Source organism: Homo sapiens, chromosome 15 (genome assembly GCF_000001405.40).
Source record: "Homo sapiens chromosome 15, GRCh38.p14 Primary Assembly".
Classification (NCBI taxonomy): Eukaryota; Metazoa; Chordata; class Mammalia; order Primates; family Hominidae; genus Homo; species Homo sapiens.
Genome location: NC_000015.10, coordinates 61,176,066 through 61,194,143, shown reverse-complemented (window position 1 = coordinate 61,194,143; position 18,078 = coordinate 61,176,066). Strand labels below are relative to the sequence as shown.

The 18,078-nt window shown below is 42.0% G+C and overlaps 1 protein-coding gene and 1 long non-coding RNA gene across 4 annotated transcripts in view; both read left to right on the top strand.

The window, feature by feature from the left end:
• The window catches only part of RORA (RAR related orphan receptor A), a 741,019-nt gene that overhangs the window by 35,159 nt on the left and 687,782 nt on the right, over nt 1-18,078 (top strand). The window lies entirely within an intron of this gene.
• Nucleotides 1-18,078, top strand: part of LOC105370841 (uncharacterized) — a 47,242-nt gene extending 29,164 nt beyond the window's left edge. For both annotated transcript variants that reach the window (XR_001751772.2, XR_007064661.1), the window contains one exon: nt 1-18,078. This exon is cut by the window's left edge. This is a non-coding gene — a long non-coding RNA (uncharacterized LOC105370841).

Below are 18,078 nucleotides of genomic sequence, written 5' to 3'. Positions count from 1 at the left end.
CAGTTTACCTTCTGCTCTAGAACTTGAAGCAATTTCATTAGTGCTATCGTTGATTCACGTTGGACTTCGTGCGCTTCCCACGGGCCATTCGTTATCAGTCTTGGCCCTGCTGCAAGAGAGAGTGAAGGGCATCTAGAGGTGCCATTGGTAAAAGCATACTCCCCAGGGCTATAGGAAATTACTGTGGAGCTGCTTCCAACTACAGCAATTCTTGAAAAAGGGGCCGCGTTAAGAGCAACAACCCTTCCTACGTGCCCCTGGAGCCATCCGCTAAGGTTAGTGTCTCAAGGTGGCATATGGTGGAAATGCATTAAGCTGGGACTGGTGACACTTGACACTGTCACTATTCGTGTGACCTTGAGAAAATGATTGAGCCTCTCTGGGTCTCAATTTCCACAACTGTAAAATTACAGAATTGTTAGGATATTGCATATGTAAAGCAATTAACATGATGTTTCTTCATAAGCAAATGGAGCTGCTATTATTATTATTGGTATTGGTCATAGCTCTTTTGAGTTCAAATGAGAAAAACAGACTCAAACTATCTTAAGTAAAGATGAGAATTAATGGGCTCATATAACTAGAAAGTTTAAGGAGGAGATCAAACTTCAGGAAGGGCTGGATCCAGGGAGTCAAAGTGTTCCTGTGTTGGCTTTTCTCTATTCACAGGCAGTTCCTCTACAGCAAGAGACCTAAGGGAAAAAGTCTAACTTTTTCTATAATGAATCCTTAAAAAAATACTCACTAGCTTAGGCTGGTTCATGTGACACCTCCTTCTCCACCCTGCAGCAGTATAACTTTGTGCAGGGCTGGGATGTAGTACACCCAGTGGTAGGACTGGGTCTTGTGCCTATTCTTGTGGAACACATATAGATTCTAAAAATATATTATTGTTTTATGAAAGTATAGAATTTAGATAGGCTAAGCTTTGCTGAAGACAGAAGTACAAGTATTTCAGGATGGTAGAAACAAAGTGTGAGGGGTAGGAATTGGCATCATGTGTTCGGGGATAAGTAAAATGACGTATATTTGGAATAGATGGTTCCTATTGGGAGTTTGAAAGATATAGGAGAGAGAATAGGGGCTGGTGAGGGCGTTGATTGTTGGGCTAGAGTTTCATTGTTATTCACTTGATAACAGAGAGTCGTTGAAGGTTTCGTGCCAAGGAGTTATAAGATAATAGGAATAGCAACAACTAGTATGTGCAAACACTGTTCTGTTGACCAATCACTGCCATAGGTACCTTGTCTGTTTGACCTCACAACAGCCCTGTAAGGCAAGTGTTAGCTCCGTTTCACAGATTAGAAAATGTAGACTGAGATGTTAAGGGTCTCACTGGAACTCTCTGACAACCAGAGTCTCAGAGCTGGGAGGTGAACTCAAGTCTCTAGGAAACAAATCACATACTCAGTGAGGAGCATGGTAGGTTGGGATGTGTACTGGTAGCAGTGTGCATTATAATCTATTCCATAAATCATTATTCATTGCTAACCAAGGGAAAGCAATAGACTCACTCACTGCCTGACTGGCTTTGGGTCTCAGGGCAGTGTAGACCACAGTGAATTGTGGCAGACACTGTCTTTGGGGTGCTTCCTGGTAGATGAGGCAGAGCCCAGTGCTGAGCTGCAGAGAGGTCCTCAGTTACTGAGCACTGTACCCCTTATTTTGTAGCAGGTATGTCATTGTTGGTGAATGGGGTACCTGGGTCTTGGGTGCGGATGGTAGATATTGTCATCTTTTACTGATTGTATAGATTTTTCCTCTACTCTGGGTAGAGTATGCTGGATCCCTTGTAGCCTGGTTAGGAAACTGGCAATCCAGAGTAATTTGCCTTTAGGCATAAGCCAGTACAACATGTCACTTTTAAAATAAAACACATTAATTTACAGAATGACTATTTTATAGCGAAGAGCAGCCTGTCTAAATGAGAGGAATTAAAGGCCAATGGTCAAGTCCTCCGCATTATTCACACCACCCTTCTCAATAAATCACAATTGCTGAAACTGCAGGTTGGCACTTACTTAAATAGCACCGTGTTGGTTAAGGGTGACATGTGCTGACACGACCTCTGTTTGCATGCAACATGCTCTATGGAGAGCTACCGCCTAAAATCTACACGTAGCTCTGTCAACCCAAGTACCTTGTGCACCATTAAGCAAGGTTTAGATTAAGCCTGGACAGCAGTTGTATCTTCATTCTAGGCAGGCTTTTCTTAGAGAAGCGAAGCTTGAATGGCAATAGTATTTGACATTCAGACCTATCCCACTCTACAGACCTAATTTTTAAATATTCCTGTTATTTTATAAACCATCAGATTTTCAGAACAGATGCGAGACTACAGAATGTGAGGACACAGAATCATAAATGAGCCCATTGGTACCTTGGGTCTTGCTGAAGCTTCCTTGATGGACAGAGTTGTCCTTGGATTACTATGTGTGCTGCGTCTGCATGAGTACCACTTTACTGTTCTTATTGTTTGGGAAGGGAGAACCAATAAGCAGTCAGTGTCTCAATTCCATTGGAAGGAACGATAGAGGGGAAGATGAATATTTTAAAGGTTGGCAATGTGTTTATCTGCAAAGCACTGGGCTTGACTAAAATGGTTTTGACACAGCCTAAGAAGTACAATAGCCAGCCTTGTGGTGTCCTGGGACACATCTAAATGAATGAGGAAGGGGCTGGTTGTGTGGTGGTGTCATCTTCCCATTTCACATTTCACTCTCAACTATTAGATGTGCCCTTGATCAGAACTGATTTCTTTCTTTTTTTTTTTTTTTTGCTACAAGGAGATGGCAGCCTAGGTGTGCTTTCCTTTAAAAAATGTCAGCTTGTGAAATAATAATACAGATGACAATTCCTGAGTGTGTACTCTGCCAAGAGTTGTACCAGAGGCTTCATGTGTAGTGTTTCCATTCCGCATGATGATGGTGCAAGGAAAGTGCAGCTATTCCTATCTTTAGATGAGGAAACAGAGGTTCAGAGCTTTGCCCAAATCCGTAACGGTGGAGCCAGCCTTTCAATACAAATCTCTTCTGTTTTAAAGACTATGTTGTTTCCACTATATAATGCTGCTTCCCACATGGAAATGTGAATGTATGAAAAATCTCCCTGATGCATTTAGTATTTTTTTTTTTGGACCATTTCCTCTCAGCTGAAAGGCTAAAAATCAGCTTACGAGCTACTAACGATCAGTAAGGTGTTTGTGTTTTGTTTAGTTTTTAAGGAAAGCCAGTGGGAAAATGAGATTCATATATATAAGCAAAAGCATTTATACTTTATATAAATATATATAAAACCATACACACACACACATACATGCAAGCATTCTGTAATATACCCACTGGGTGATATGTCAGTTCTCCTTTGAATTCTTTTTTTCTTTTCTTTTCTTTTTTTGAGACAGAGTCTTACTCTGTTACTCAGGCTGGAGTGCAGTGGTGCCATTTTGGCTCACTGCAGCTTCTGCCTCCCAGGCTCAAGAGATCCTCCTTACCTGAGCCTCCCTTAGCCTCCCATAGCCTCCCTTAGACTCCCATTGTATTTTTTGTAGAGATGGGGTTTCGCAATGTTGCCCAGGCTGGTCTCAAACTCCTGGGCTCAAGCGATTTGCCCACCTTGCCCTCCCAAAGTGCTGGAGTTATTGGCCTGAGCCACCCACCATGCCCAGCGTCCTTTGAACTCTTTATGTAATCTATCTCATGATTTTATTTTTTAGGAAAGCATCTTCTGATATTTAAAGGTAGGCCTCACTTTATGCAGGACATATATCACTTTAGTTTCTATGCAACATCATGCTTTCCATGCACCGTGTAAAACAATCAATTTTATAGAACTTATTGGTGTCCCTTTTGTTAATAGGAAAATGCCCCTTGTAAAGTCAGGTTTTATTTTTGTGTGTGTTTCCTAATTTTAGCTCTGAGCACACTGATGTTCTTACAGCAAGACACACTGATTTTTTTTTTTTCTGGACCAAATACTAATTGACGGAGAAAAGTAATTTTTATTGATAAGCATGAGAATTAGCCTCACCAGGCTTTTGGAGTTTGAGGAACAGATAAACTTTAAAAGATATAATGAGCTTCACTTCAGGCCAATAGATATAAATCTCATTTATTCTTTTTATTAAAAATTGCAAAATTTCACCTGGTGTAGACATGTATTAATTTATTCATCCCTATTGACAAACATGTAGGTTGTTTGCAGTTTGGTATTGTTTTTTTTCCATGATAAATAATGCTGGAATAATGATGGATATCTGTGGTTTTTTTTTTTTTTTTTTTTTTTTTTGAGACAGAGTCTCGCTCTGTCACCCAGGCTGGAGTGCGGTGGTGCAATCTCGGCTCACTGCAAGCTCCGCCTCCTGGGTTCATGCCATTCTCCTGCCTCAGCCTCCTGAGCAGCTGGGACAACAGGTGCCCGCCACCATTCCTGGCTAATTTTTTGTATTTTTAGTAGAGATGGGGTTTCACCGTGTTAGCCAGGATGGTCTTGATCTCCTGACCTCGTGATCTGCCTACCTCGGCCTCCCAAAATTTTGGGATTACAGGTGTGAGCCACCACACCTGGCCAGATATCTGTTCTGTCTTCAGCACCTGGGGCCCTGTGGAGGCTGCAGCCCTCCTTCTTGCTGGGATATTGACATTGTGCTGGCCCCACAGGGCTCCTTCTCCAGCCATCCTTTGAATCATCTACTGCAGAGCAGCTAGGAGGTGGGAAACCAGATAGACAGGCTGGAGAAGATCCTCTCAAAAACAAGAGCCCATAGCTGCCGAGTGGGAGCCAGCAAATAGAGTGCGTGGATACAGGCACTGGATGTTATTTATGTCTTTCTCCTTTGTCGTTCTCCATTATTTTACCATTAACCTTAAGAAGGCAAAGATCATCTCATGTTCATTTTTAAATCTTTTATAATGTCTATCATGAATGTAAAAATGCGTTTATTCAAGGGACATTTAAGGACTGTGTTAAACACTAAGGGGTCAAAGATGAAGAAGACATGGCTTTTAGGCTCGTGGGTTGCTGTTTCTTACCTGGCAACTCAGCAAGAGAAGCAGGGGCTCCTTGCTCTTGCATCCCCCTTGCTCTTATTTTCTTTCCCCAGTGCTGTGTATTTTTTCATACTGTTCTAGAAAATCTGAGAGTGGGTTGGTAATGCCCTTGGTTCTGATGAGCTTACACAATTTTTTCTTCCTCGGTGAGTACTTGCAATATTAGTTCTTAATATTGAAAGTGGGGGTAAGGCTTTTTCACCCTGACCTTGGTCACTCGTAGGTTAGGAGATGATGTTCTACTTCATTAAAAGTGTGTTGAGCTCCTTGAGGGAATCTCTTAGGAAACATGTGACGTTAGACGTTTTTGAGACCCCTCTTTGCTATCAAAGGAAGAAGAGGACCAGTGGGGCCACTTTTATCACCTGCCCTCTCTCCATTGTGGACCCATGTTTTGAAAGACTTTGATCATCCAGCTGTATTTTGATTTTTTAATTATTTATTTAAATTATTATTTTTAAATCATTAATGATTATTTCCTAGTTGTTACTCAGACAATGTGAGGTAGGTGCTCTTAAAACAGGTGGCCCATATGGTTCCAGCCAAGAGATCCGGGTTAGCCTGTGCTGTTGTGATGAAGACAGTTGCACGTTTTCCATTAGAATTTTTAAAATATTCCCTCCAGTTTTGCAGAACTCACTGGTACCTGGGTTCTTAGATTGGGCACTGCTGCCCCAGAATAAGGGTCAGCAAACTAGGCCCCGTTGGTGGGTCAAACCCGGCCCACCCACAGCCTGGTTTTGTAAATAAAGTTTTATTCGAACACAGCCACACCTACTTGTTGACACATTGCCTGGGTCTGCTTTGGGGCCACAATGGCAGAGTTGAGTAGTTGCCACAGAGACCTTTTGGCCCGCAAAGACGATTCACTTTCTGACCTTTTGCAGAGTTTCCCTATCCCCACTCCCATCTAGAGGAAGGTGGCCCTGAGGTGTGTCGGGTGGGGAAACCTCTTTGAAGCCCAGACAGCTTGGGGTTGGGTCATTGGGTATTTCGGGGGAACGACAGGGAATATGCCAGCTGCTAAAAGAAAAGCTGTGGTGAGAGCAACATCACTCAAAGCCTGTCGGGATCTTCTGTCTTGTGGGGCAGAGGAAGAAGGCCTGGCAGGTCTGAGGCAGGGAGTTCAGGGGTGTGTTAGGGGAGGGTTGAGGGAGAGGATGTTGGGGAACTTCTTTAAATTTCTGCCTTAGGAATTTCTGGTGCAGAAAGAAGGAGAAACATTAACAAAGTGAGGCACTGGGCAGTTCTGTCTTCTCCCTTACAAAACGTTCTTCAGAGCCCCCAGGGTGCTTCTGGGGAAGCCACCAGACACGCAGCAGCTCTTGCCAACAGTGCGGGCTTGTCAACTTTTTCTTTCCCTTTTATGCCTGTGGTGATAAACATATGCTTTGAAGCATGAGATTTGATTTTCCTGTCTTAACGCTTATAAATACAAATGTGATTAATGGTCATAAAAAACTGGTTGACAGTGTAAGACTAATTCTCAGCAAAGTAGCCCTGCGCTGTTCCCTGTGGAAGAGGCTGTTATGCAGAGGCCGTGTTGAACAGCGTGAATAACACGGGCCCACTTCCCATCCCTACCGCCACCCCTCCTCCTCCTCTTGGTTTTTCCCTCAGATCTCCCTATCCTCCCCCTGGAGGCTCTTCCTCCTTGATAATTAAAATTGGTGGATTTTCCTCTCGAGAGCTACCTGAGGTAAGGATCCGAGTCTCTTTGTCATGCCATTAATAGTCCGGAACTCTGCAGAAAGGCATCTGGCTGCCTTCTCCGTTCCCCACTTGGGCCTGGCGGGCCGCCTGTACATGTTGGGGAACAACACAACCTAAATCTGGACAATTTGTATTTTAGTAGTAACGGGGATATTCTCTGTCTCCCTCTGTCATTTTGCATTAAGGACCTGCCACTAATAAAACTAATTAATAACTGCTGGCTCGATGTGGAATAGTTGGACTTCTTAAACCTGGCAGCCTGCCACCGCCGCTTTTGAAAGAAGCACTTCATCTTTGTCATGGACAGGATGAATATTTCTCCACACTTCTAATTGGACAAAGTGCCTTTCAAACTCACTGGCATTTCAGAGAGAGCAGATAAGTAGTCCGTGTGCTCTCCAGATACAATCACCTCTCAGCTGCCTCCAAGATTGGGAGCCATTTCCCAAGAGAAGCCAGCACAGAGGGCTCTGAACTTTTTCTTCTTTAGTGACTCCTCCTGATTTTACCTCTGACCTCTGACTCCAGACAGAGTGAGCCCGAAGGGCAAGCAGGGCACTGGAGCTCACCAAACCCACAGTAGGAAGGAGTAGTTTTCATGTTTGAGGAGCAGCACAGTTAACTGGGAGGAGTGGGGGCTTCTTGGAAAATGCAGATTTTGGTAGACCCTCCCAGGGGACAGTGCCATGACATCTGGATTCTTTTTCTTTTTCCCTTTTTTTTTTTTTTTTTTTTTTTTTTTGAGTCAGGGTCTCACATCATTGCCCAGGCTGGAGTGCAGTGGCATGATCTTGGCTCACTGTAACCTCCACCTCCCCGGTTCAGGCAATTCTCCTGCCTCAACATCCTGAGTAGCTGGGATTACAAGCATGGACCACCATGCCAGGCTAATTTTTGTATTTTTAGTAGAGACAGGGTTCCACCATGTTAGCCAGGCTGGTCTCGAACTCCTGACCTCAAGTGATCTGCCCACCTTGGCCTCCCAAAGTGCTGGGATTACAGGCATGAGCCACCGTGCCTGGCCAGGGCATCTGGATTCTTAACAAGCTTTTCAGGTGGTTCTGATGCACATCAGGGTCTTAGAATTACAGGGATAATCCTGGGGCTGATACTGGATGATGTTTGCTTTTTAGTCACTTAACCAGCATGTCTTTTTAGATGACCCTAGGTTGCAGTGTGCTGAGCAAGGAAGAAATTGTAGTCTAATCAAAGACATGACAGATGCATATGAAGGCTTAAATGATAGCAGTTAAATAGTTAAATTCAACAAACAGATTGTATTTTGCAGACAAATCATAAGTGGTTAATTTTTCACGTTTTAGGAGGAGCCAGCCACAGAGAGAACTTTAGTATTGAGTACTGAATAATCAGATGTGTTTTCTTAGAGTGAAGGTTAACCACTGTGGCTTTAGAGCTGGGTGGTGAAGGATGTATAGGAGTTTATCCAGTAGAGAAACAGGGTGGGGCATTCCAGGGAAAAATAATGGCAGCAATGCAGGTCTCGGTCTGGGCATTTCATGGTGCCTGTGTGATAAGAGATCAGAGAGAAGGGTGTGTGACTGCCGACGACCTTCTCCTGAGGAGACCCTCAGAGCCATGGGGAAGAGATGAGATTAGGCTGGGCCTGAGGTGCAGATAGGGATGTTCTAGAATTAAGGCATCAAAGGCTGGAACTTGAGTCCTGCCACAGAATGGAACAGAGTGGTAGTTTAGGTTATTTCAGTTGTTGCATGATCAATAGCATGAGATTTTCACTTGAATGTGGGAGCCAAAAGAGAGAAAATTCAGTGACTGACAAATCTAAGATTTCTAGTTTGGGGGACCAGTGAGATAGCAGTGTGGCTGGCCAGAAGTTTAGGAGCTATCCTAAGGTTTTGCCAATGTCGGGGCAATCAAGGAAAACCACTCTGATTACAGAGTTGGCAGAGATGGAGTTTCTGATGAGAACATTCTGGGAAGATTTCACTTTTTCTTTATACTTGAGTAGCCGTATAGAGATCCTGCCAGTCTGGTTGCCTAAATTCATTTCTTGTCCTCTTATTGAACATTAATGCTCATAGGAAAAAAAAAAAGATGGGATCAACAGGTCTGGAGGCTAAATATCATTTAGTTTGCTGCAGAGGCTCAGAGAAATCAGAGTGTCAGCAGATAATCACTTCATGCTTCATCAGTGTGCTGAAACCTCATTTACAGAGGGACACATCCAAACCATGAGCTCTCTGCAACAAGCAAAAGGACCTGCGAAACAGCTTTGCAGTCTGGGTTCATTTGTTCCAGGTAACGCCTGCATGTTCCATGTGTCTGCCACCTTGATAAGTTCTTGGGTGGTAGGAGCCAAAGAATAGAAGTAACAGTCCTTCTTCTTCTTCTTCTTCTTCTTTTTTTTTTTTTTTTTTGAGAGACAGGGTCTCGCTCCTTTGCCCAGGCTGGAGTGCAGTGGGACAATCATAGCTCAGTGCAGCCTTGAACTGCTGAGCTCGAGGTATCTTCCTACCTCAGCCTTCCAAGTAGCAACAACTACAGACACATGCCACCATGCCCAGCCAATTTTTATTTTTATTTTTTGTAGGGGTCTCACTATGTTGCCCAGGCTGGTCTTGAACAATCTGGCCTCAAGTAATTCTCCCACCTTGGCTTTCCAAAGCACTGGGATTACAGGTTTGAGCCATCACTCCCAGCCTAACAGTCTCCTAACAGTCCTTTGATTCAGCAAACCTTTACTGTATGGCTGACTGTATGCCAAGTACTCCCCTAGGGGGCGAAGTATATACAATAAATAAAGCAAAGTTACTTCTCTCAAGGAGCTCCTGTGATAGTTGAGGAGATGGTTGTGTATAGATGATTAAGATTAAGTGTTACAACTACCGAAACAGAATTTCATACCAGGTACATAGGTACCACAGAGCAGGAAGTGATTAATTCTAAGGAAAGAGAGACTCTCCTTAATTCTAAGGAGAAAGAGACTTATCTTAGGGGGGAAATTGAGGGGTGTCTGGGGAGGGCTTCCTGGAGGAGATGATGTAATGCGTGAAGTTTGGGAAGATAACTGACCATTTTTCTGGACTGAAAAGGAGGTGAAGAGCAGTCTAGGCAAAGAGCACAGGGAAATGTGAATAGCTATTGCTTCTCAGCGTTCAGTGTGTAAGGGGAGTGTGTTGTGAAGGGATAGACACATGGTTGCAAATGCAAATTTTATGTTTTAACTTATGGAATGGGAAGATGGGGCAAAATTGTGAAATGCAGTGCAATGCGTGGAACTCATCTGTGGGAAGCAAGTACATTCTCACATCAGCTGTTCAGAGATGTGTTTTTGAGTTCTGTGGACATGGGAACTGGGCTTTGATAGGAGATGGCTCTGTGTCAGTTCAGCCCTCTGAATTAACAGATGAGGAGAGGATCACTGGGTTAGGGCAGAGGTGTGTGGGAGCAGCCAGGAAACTTTGCCTTCCCATTCCAAGGATGGGAAAGGTTAGACAAGGCGTGTCTGTCTGACAAAATTGCTGGGAAGAGAGGTATGAAAGGAGGACATGAGACTATTGATTGTAACCCATTCATTCATGTAGCAGAGTTGTTTATTGAGCATTTGCTTTGTGGAAAAACACAGGACAAGGTGCTCTTAGCAGTGATAAAGATTATTCCCTGGTCTTTGTCATTAAAACATTACCATTTTTAAGAGATGGGTACACAAAAAATCAGAATAAATGAGGATAAGAAGAACTAGTGCAAACTGCTTTTGAAAGAAAGAGTGATATATGAATGATTCTAACAAGGGTTTGAAAGGAGGGAAAAGCTTCAGCTCTGTTCTCTGTCCATCCATGAGCCAGTTTTTTTCCTTTTTTTTTTTTTTTTGAAACAGTCTCACTCTTGTTGCCCAGGCTAGAGTGCAATGGTGTGATCCAGGCTCACTGCAACTTCTCCCTCCCGGGTTCAAGCGATTTTCCTGCCTCAGCCTCCCAAGTAGGTGGGATTACAGGTGTTTGCCACCACACCCAGCTAATTTTTGTATTTTTAGTAGGGATGGGGTTTCACCATGTTGGCCAGGCTGGCCTGGAACGCCTGACCTCAGGTGATCTGCCCACTTTGCCCTCCCAAAGTGCTGGATTACAAGCGTGAGCCACCATGCCTGGCCACATTTTTTAAAAAATTGAAATAACTTTTAGACTTGCAGAACAGTTGTAAAGATAGTACAGGCAACTCCTGCATACTCCTCACCCAGCTTGCCCCAAAGTTAACCTCTGTAACCATGGTACAAGTTATCAATTAAAAACTTAGTATTGGCACAATGCCACCACCTACAGACCTTATTGGATTGACTCATTCTTCTGCCAGCGTCCTTTCTCTGTTCTAGGATTCCACATTGCATTGAGTTGTGTTGTCTACTTAGTCTCCCCCAGCCTGTGATGATTCCTTGGTTTTCCTTGTTGTTTATGATCTTGATCTTGATCCCTGTGAAGAGCATTGGTTAGGAACGTTATAGAAGGCCCCCCAATTTGGGTTCTCTGGCATTTTCTCCTGGTTAAAGGGAGCCTGTGGATTTAGGGGAAGAGCACCACACAGAGGTGAAGGGCTCTCCTTAACATATCATATCATTGGTATATTGTGTCATGCCATCGAGCTGTCCCATTTCTGGTGATGTGAACCTCGATCTGATTCCCTAGTTAAGGTGGTGTCTGCCAGCCATCTCCACTATAAAGTCACTGTGTTTCCCTTTGTAACCAACAGATACTTTGGGGCTAGGAAATATTCTACTTCTCCTTAAACTTACCACAAGCTCCTTTTCAAGCCTTTGTCATGGTTCATTCTAACCTTTCTCCTACTGGAAACAGCACTGTGGCTTCATGCGATGCTCTGTCTTCCATCTTCCTGCAGTTGGCTCCAGGGAATAAACTCACACACCATGGATGTTCCCAGGGTGATGGTAGCAGGTGTAAAGCATTGCTTTTATTTATGTAGAGAGGAAATGGTGCTCAGGGCTAGCAATTTTTCCAAACGCACATTTCTGAAAGAGTATCTGCACTACTTTGTTTTGCTATCATGGCAACAACACTGAAGTGGAGGAAGGAAACCCTGAGGACTGGTCTGTTCCTGATGATACTGAGCTGTGTGACCTCAGGCGAGGAACTTGAGTTCTCTGGGCTTCAGTTTTCCTAAAGTGGCTGAGGTTAGATTAGTCAATTCCTAGAGAGACTTTCACTGGTAACATTCTGTAGTTCCATGGTGAGATTTCCTTCTTGGCTAAAACTCTACCTCTAATAAGGAAAACTGAGTTACAATACAGTAAAGAAAACAGATATGAAGGGTGTCTGGGTGTTATATGACCTTGGAGTCTCTGTAATTGAGACATCCATTAAGGGTATTTTGAAATCAGGCTAATGAATGAGAAATAAATTGCTATTTTCAAAGTCTCACAAAAGGGTATACATCCAATTATAGTGGATGGCTGTAAGAAAGGACAAGCTCTTTATGTTCAAGACCTTTCCTCTCTGTAGCTTTTCACAAGATTAGATTGCCTTTAGTTACCCAATCTCAGATTTCCACTCTAGTGCTACTGGTGTTTGGTATTTCTCTCTTCTTTTGGAGTATGCAGACATCTCTCCCATATTAGATTCTGGGCAACATCTTAATTCTTACCATATGGCCGTATTCTTAAAGCTGAACATGGAAATGACCTACTTTATCCTTTTTTTTTTTTTTTTTTTTTTGCCAAAGCTAATCCTAGGCATACACTTTTTTTTCTTTGTTCTGCTAATGACAATGCTTGTTCTTTGCTGATGGGCATGTCACTGAAAAGGTGGCAACAAAGTCTGATTAATTTCAGAGCATGAATTTCAAACCCTCTTTGACGTCCCATAAGCATCCCAGATTGTCACATTTTCCCCCTTTCTGGTCATTTTCTGCTAATTGACCCTTTTTCACTTTAGTGCTGCTTTTTGCTTTGTGAGTTTTTACCTTGGTTTAATTTATCATTTGAAATTCTTGCCTTACCATTTGCAATTTGCATCGTTTCAGAAGGATGAAAAGAGCTCAATGTTCTTCCAGGAGATAATGTTTTTAGGAAAGGGCTCTCTTTAGTGGCTGTTTAATGGTAGAATGGCTACCCTTCATTCTCAAACATGTTAAGACCAACTCACTAAGACACACATGCTGGATTTCTGACTGGGCCGGAAACATATGGAATGTTACTATTGTCTTAGTATTCCTTAGCATTTTACTTAATTCTAATACTAGTCCTATTGGCCTGTAAGGTGACTGACTAGATTTTTTTTTTTTTTTTTTTTTGAGATGGAATCTCGCTCTGTCTCCCTGGCTGGAATGCAGTGGCATGATCTCGGCTTACTGCAAGCTCTGCCTCCCAGGTTCAAACGATTCTCCTACCTCAGCCTCCCGAGTAGCTGGGATTATAGGTGCACACCACCACACCCAGATAATTTTTATATTTTTAGTAGAGAAGAGGTTTCGCCATATTGGCCAGACTGGTCTCAAACTCCTGACCTCAGGTGATCCAGGAGACCTGCTTTGGCCTCCCAAAGTTCTGGGATTACAGGTGTGAGCCACCACGCCTGGCCTTTCTTTGTGTGGATTTTTAAAGTGTCTGCCATGTTTGGCAGTGTGCTAGGTGCTGGAACTCAAAAGTGGGCAACCCACAGGCCCTGCCTTCAAGGTGCTCATGGTCTAGTAAGGAAGACAGCAAAAATACAGAATTTCAATAGAATGTGTTACCATAGACATAGGCACAACATACAGAGGTAAGAGAGGAAGGAATTTTTAACTGTCTCTTTAAAAGAAGAATTCAGGGAAAGCTTTTTGGAAGAGGTGTTGTCCAAACTGGATTTTGCAAGATGAATAAGATATTGCCAGGAAGAAAATTGGTAGAAAGTTGTGAACACTGTGGCCGCAGAACACAGCAAGGTAACTAATTGGTCCGCACAAATGACCCTATAACCTTGTAGGGTTATAAGCACTGAACCATGTAAGATGTTGCATAGTTTAATTGTATTAAATCTCATACAACCCTTTAGAACAACATCCTCTCCAAATTCGTAGAAGATATTATTTCTCTGAAATGGAAATAAGTAGTGATAGGATGGATAAATGAAGCCATTGATGATGAAAACGTATTTGTACTGCTACCTACCTGGATCCTCCCTTTACTTGTCTTTAAGTCATACTTAACTGGTATCTTCAGTGTAGTAATTGTTGCTCTACAGTTTTGTCTTTTTTTTTTTTTTTTTTTTTTTTGAGATGGAGTCTTGCTCTGTTGCCCAGGCTCGAGTGCAGTGGCATGATCTTGGCTCACTGCAGCCTCTGCCTCCTGGGTTCAAGTGATTCTCGTGCCACAGCCTCCTCGGTAGCTGGGACTACAGGCATGCACCACCACACCCAGCTATTTTTTTTTTGTTTTTTTTTTTAGTAGAAACGGGTTTCACTGGGTTGACTAGGCTGGTCTCGAACTCCTGACCTCAGGTGATCTGCCCACCTCGGCCTCCCAAAGTGCTGGGATTACAGGCGTGAGCCTCCACACCCAGCCTACGGTTTTGTCTTCTTACCATCATTTGCTTTTAAATCATGTGTAAGCAGGTGTGGAGGACCTGAAGATGGTTATCCAAAGATCTTTACTGGCCATATTCATTTATTGAACTCTGAACATTTGAAAGCAGTTATTAAAACCCTTTAATCCATCAGTTTGTCCATTTGCCACACATTTACTATATGTCAGGCGTTATGCTAAATCACTGGTTGGCAAACTTTTTGATCTCGTGACCCCTTTATACTCTTAAAGATTATTGAGGATCTTAAAGAGCTTTTTGTTTATGTGAATTACATTTATTGATACTTACCATCCAAGAACTGAAAATAGAGAAAATAATTTAAAATACATGTGTTTTAAAATATTATAAACCCATTGCATCCTAACATAAATAACATATTGTAATTAAACAAAAATCTTCCAAAACAAAAACCAGTTAGAAGAGTGGCATTCTTTTTTATTTTTGCGTATCTCTTTTATGTCTGGCTTAATAGAAAACAGCTGGATTCCCAGCTCTGCTTCTGCATTCAGTGTGTGGTGGTATCACACATCATGTAACCCCTGGAAAACTCTACTATTTGTCAAAGTATTATGAAAATTGTTTTGACCTCATGGGTTTCCTTGGAAGAGTCGACCCCTGCAAGGGACCACGGACCACACTTGTGGGAACTGCTGTGCTAAATCATGCTGCTTCCCTCTATGGAGTGGAGATACTGAATCCTGGAGGTGCCTTGAAAAGAACCTGAGGAGGCAGAGCTGTGGGCTGAGGTCCTCGGGTCCATATTACATCCCGGCAGAGGAGATCACGCATCCTTCATGTGACCATGGTTATTTTGGTTTGAATCCACAAAAGAGAAAAGAATGCATGTGTTTAGATTTTCTTTGTACCAAAGGAAAAAGTATGTAGATGGGTCATGTTAAAACATTAAATAATGGGTTAGATATAGCAATACATTTTACCCCATCAGAAGATATTTTCAAAAGCGGGTATAGTCTATATGGTTAGCTATTCAAGGACTTGCCATGGGTGTCATGTTTCCATTTAACAGTTGTCTCCTGCTAGGTTGTTTGTCATTTATATGTAAGCTTATTTTCTTTTTTGTAATTAACTCACAACCTGTTTATTCCTTTTTAGTATTTGTGTATATATTGAAAGAATTGCATGATTTTTTGTTTCTTCACATAGAGTATCTTTTATTTTTAAAAAGAATCTTGGGGTGATGGTTTATTTTAGAGTTAAATCAATCAAAATATCAAAAAGCTTTTCCTCTGATGCCTTAGAAGTGTTTTAGTAGACACAGCACTACCAGTATTTTCCAATATCCTTGAAAGAAATGGCTGTGAGCATTCTAGATAAAATTGATATATTTATCCATATTTTTCTGCTCATAAAATAGAATTTGAGCACTTTCAGATTATATTTTCAAATATTTAGGGCAATGTATTTAAAATGTTTTAAAAATTAACTGGGGAAAAAGGATGAAAGAGTTTTAATTTCCTTGGATCCGAATAATTCAAGTTGCAAGCTTCTGTATTCAATTTTCCTTGCCTTCTGTTGGTTGGTTTGGGATTTTTCTTGGCCTGGGATTGAATATTTTGTATCACTTTAGGAAAGTCAGGATGTAGCTAGCTTTCAAAGTAATAACTCAGATTTATAGTTGAATGGATTTAGAATCAAAGGATTTTGAAAAACATACATTAGGTTCTTTGCTCTTTTTTAGAATCCGAGTATTTTAAACACACTTTCCAGTGTAACACTTGGAGTCTTTTTTAATGCTAAGAATAAGAAAATGGAAGGAAGGTTTTTATCTGCCTCCCTTCCTCATTTCTTCCCCTTTGGCCTTCTTTCCTTCTTTTTCTCCTTTCTTTTTTCTTTTTCTTTTTTTTTTTGTTGAGATGGAGTCTTGCTCTGTTGCCCAGGGTGGAGTGCAGTGGTGCAATCTCGGCTCACTGCAGCCTCCGCTTCCTGAGTTCAAGGGATTCTCCTGGCTCAGCCTCCCGAGCAGCTGAGATTACAGGCACATGCCACCACACTTGGCTAATTTTTTGTATTTTTAGTAGAGACGAGATCTCACCATCTTGATCAGGCTGGTCTCGAACTTCTGACCTCAAGAGATCTGCCTGCCTCAGCCTCCCAAAGGGCTCGGGTTATACGGGATTATAGGCGTGAGCAACTGCACCGGCCTCCGGTTCCTTTCTTGTTTTTTATTTTTATTTTTATTCTTATTATATAATTTTATGCCTCTCTTTGACTCCCACCCTGGCCAGATTTGTAACACTCAAATGTCCATTAAAACGCACGAACAGTTATGTGATGGAAGCTGGGCCCTGGTGCTGACAGCCGTATTTTTCACATCGTTGTAAACATGTGTGCAACCACATCTTAGTTTTTAGTTTAATTATTTCTAATAATAATACAGTGATTTATAAAGTTTCCCTTTCAAAACAAAATCTGGAGTGTGCAGACCACTGAAATTACAAACATATTTAAAGATGTAAAACGTCTCGGGTGAAAAGCCCAAGCCTGTCAGTATTTCTAAGCACGCATTTCTGGAAACCCAAGTCCCCACTCACCTGTTTTTCTAATTGCATTTTCCTTGAAGTGCCTTTGTGCTCACTTGGATTCTCTAGCTTTAACTCAGAGCAGCAAATCTTCCTCTTCTCTGCTGGAAGTAGCATTATTTGTGGATGCTGAAAAGTTCTAGAATTAAACATCAGAACTCCTTCCATCGCTTCACAGAAGGTGCGTTATAAACACTGAATGGCTGTGTAGGGATTTTGTCTTCAATGTCTTTTAAATCTTCAATCATCGATATCCATTTAAGGCCAACCAATCCTGTTTGCTTCCTCTTTGCCATCCCCTTCCCCCGACCTATGAGAGCAGGCATTCAATAAATGTAGGTAGGGCAGTGAATGTTCCAGAGGCCAGTTACATGTTAATTTGAAGTCAGGACATATAAAGCATGAACATTTATGTTAAAACCTGCGTACCTCTTTTGTTAGTGTATAAATGCCGTAATTTTAACAACAATAATAATAGTAGTCATTTTTACTAAATGCCTACTGTGTTCCTGACATCATATTAGGCACATTATATGTGTCATCTCATTTTACTATGAATTACACAACTCTGTAAGGGTTATTATTTTCCCATTTTATAGTTGAAGAAACTGCAGCTTGCCCATGTTCATATGGCTTAGTAAGCATGTTTTTAAGCAGTTGATAAGAATAATTCATTTTTAGCCAGGCATGGTGGCTCATGCCTGTAATCCCCAAGCATTTTGGGAGACTGAGGTAAGAGGATTACGTGAGCCCAGGAGTTCAAGATCAATCTGGGCAGCATAGCAAGATCCCATCTCTGAAACATGAAAGTAAAAAGAAATATTTTCTTTTTGCAGATTGGCATGCTTAAAGGGCTGACCATCTGATGTACAGGAAATGGAAACTACTCTCTGAAAAGCAAGTGATCTCCCAGCCGCACCCATTTAGGAGACCAGGATTTTATTTTGATCCACAGGAGACTAAATGAGTTAGAGGCCACTCCTGTATCAACAGAGTTTGTTACTTAAATGACAGTAGGGCGGTTCGCAGAAGGAACACCAAATAGTCTGACTATCTACCAAGAAGAGAGTGTTTGAACACATGTGCAACCTCTTGACTGTGGTGTGTGGGGCAGCATTTAATAAGAAAGAGCTAAATCTGCTTGATGTGGGAATATATTCAACACATGTTAAGTGCTAAAATATTCAAAGTAAATAAATGTCTATGTACTCCATATTGTTAAAGAAA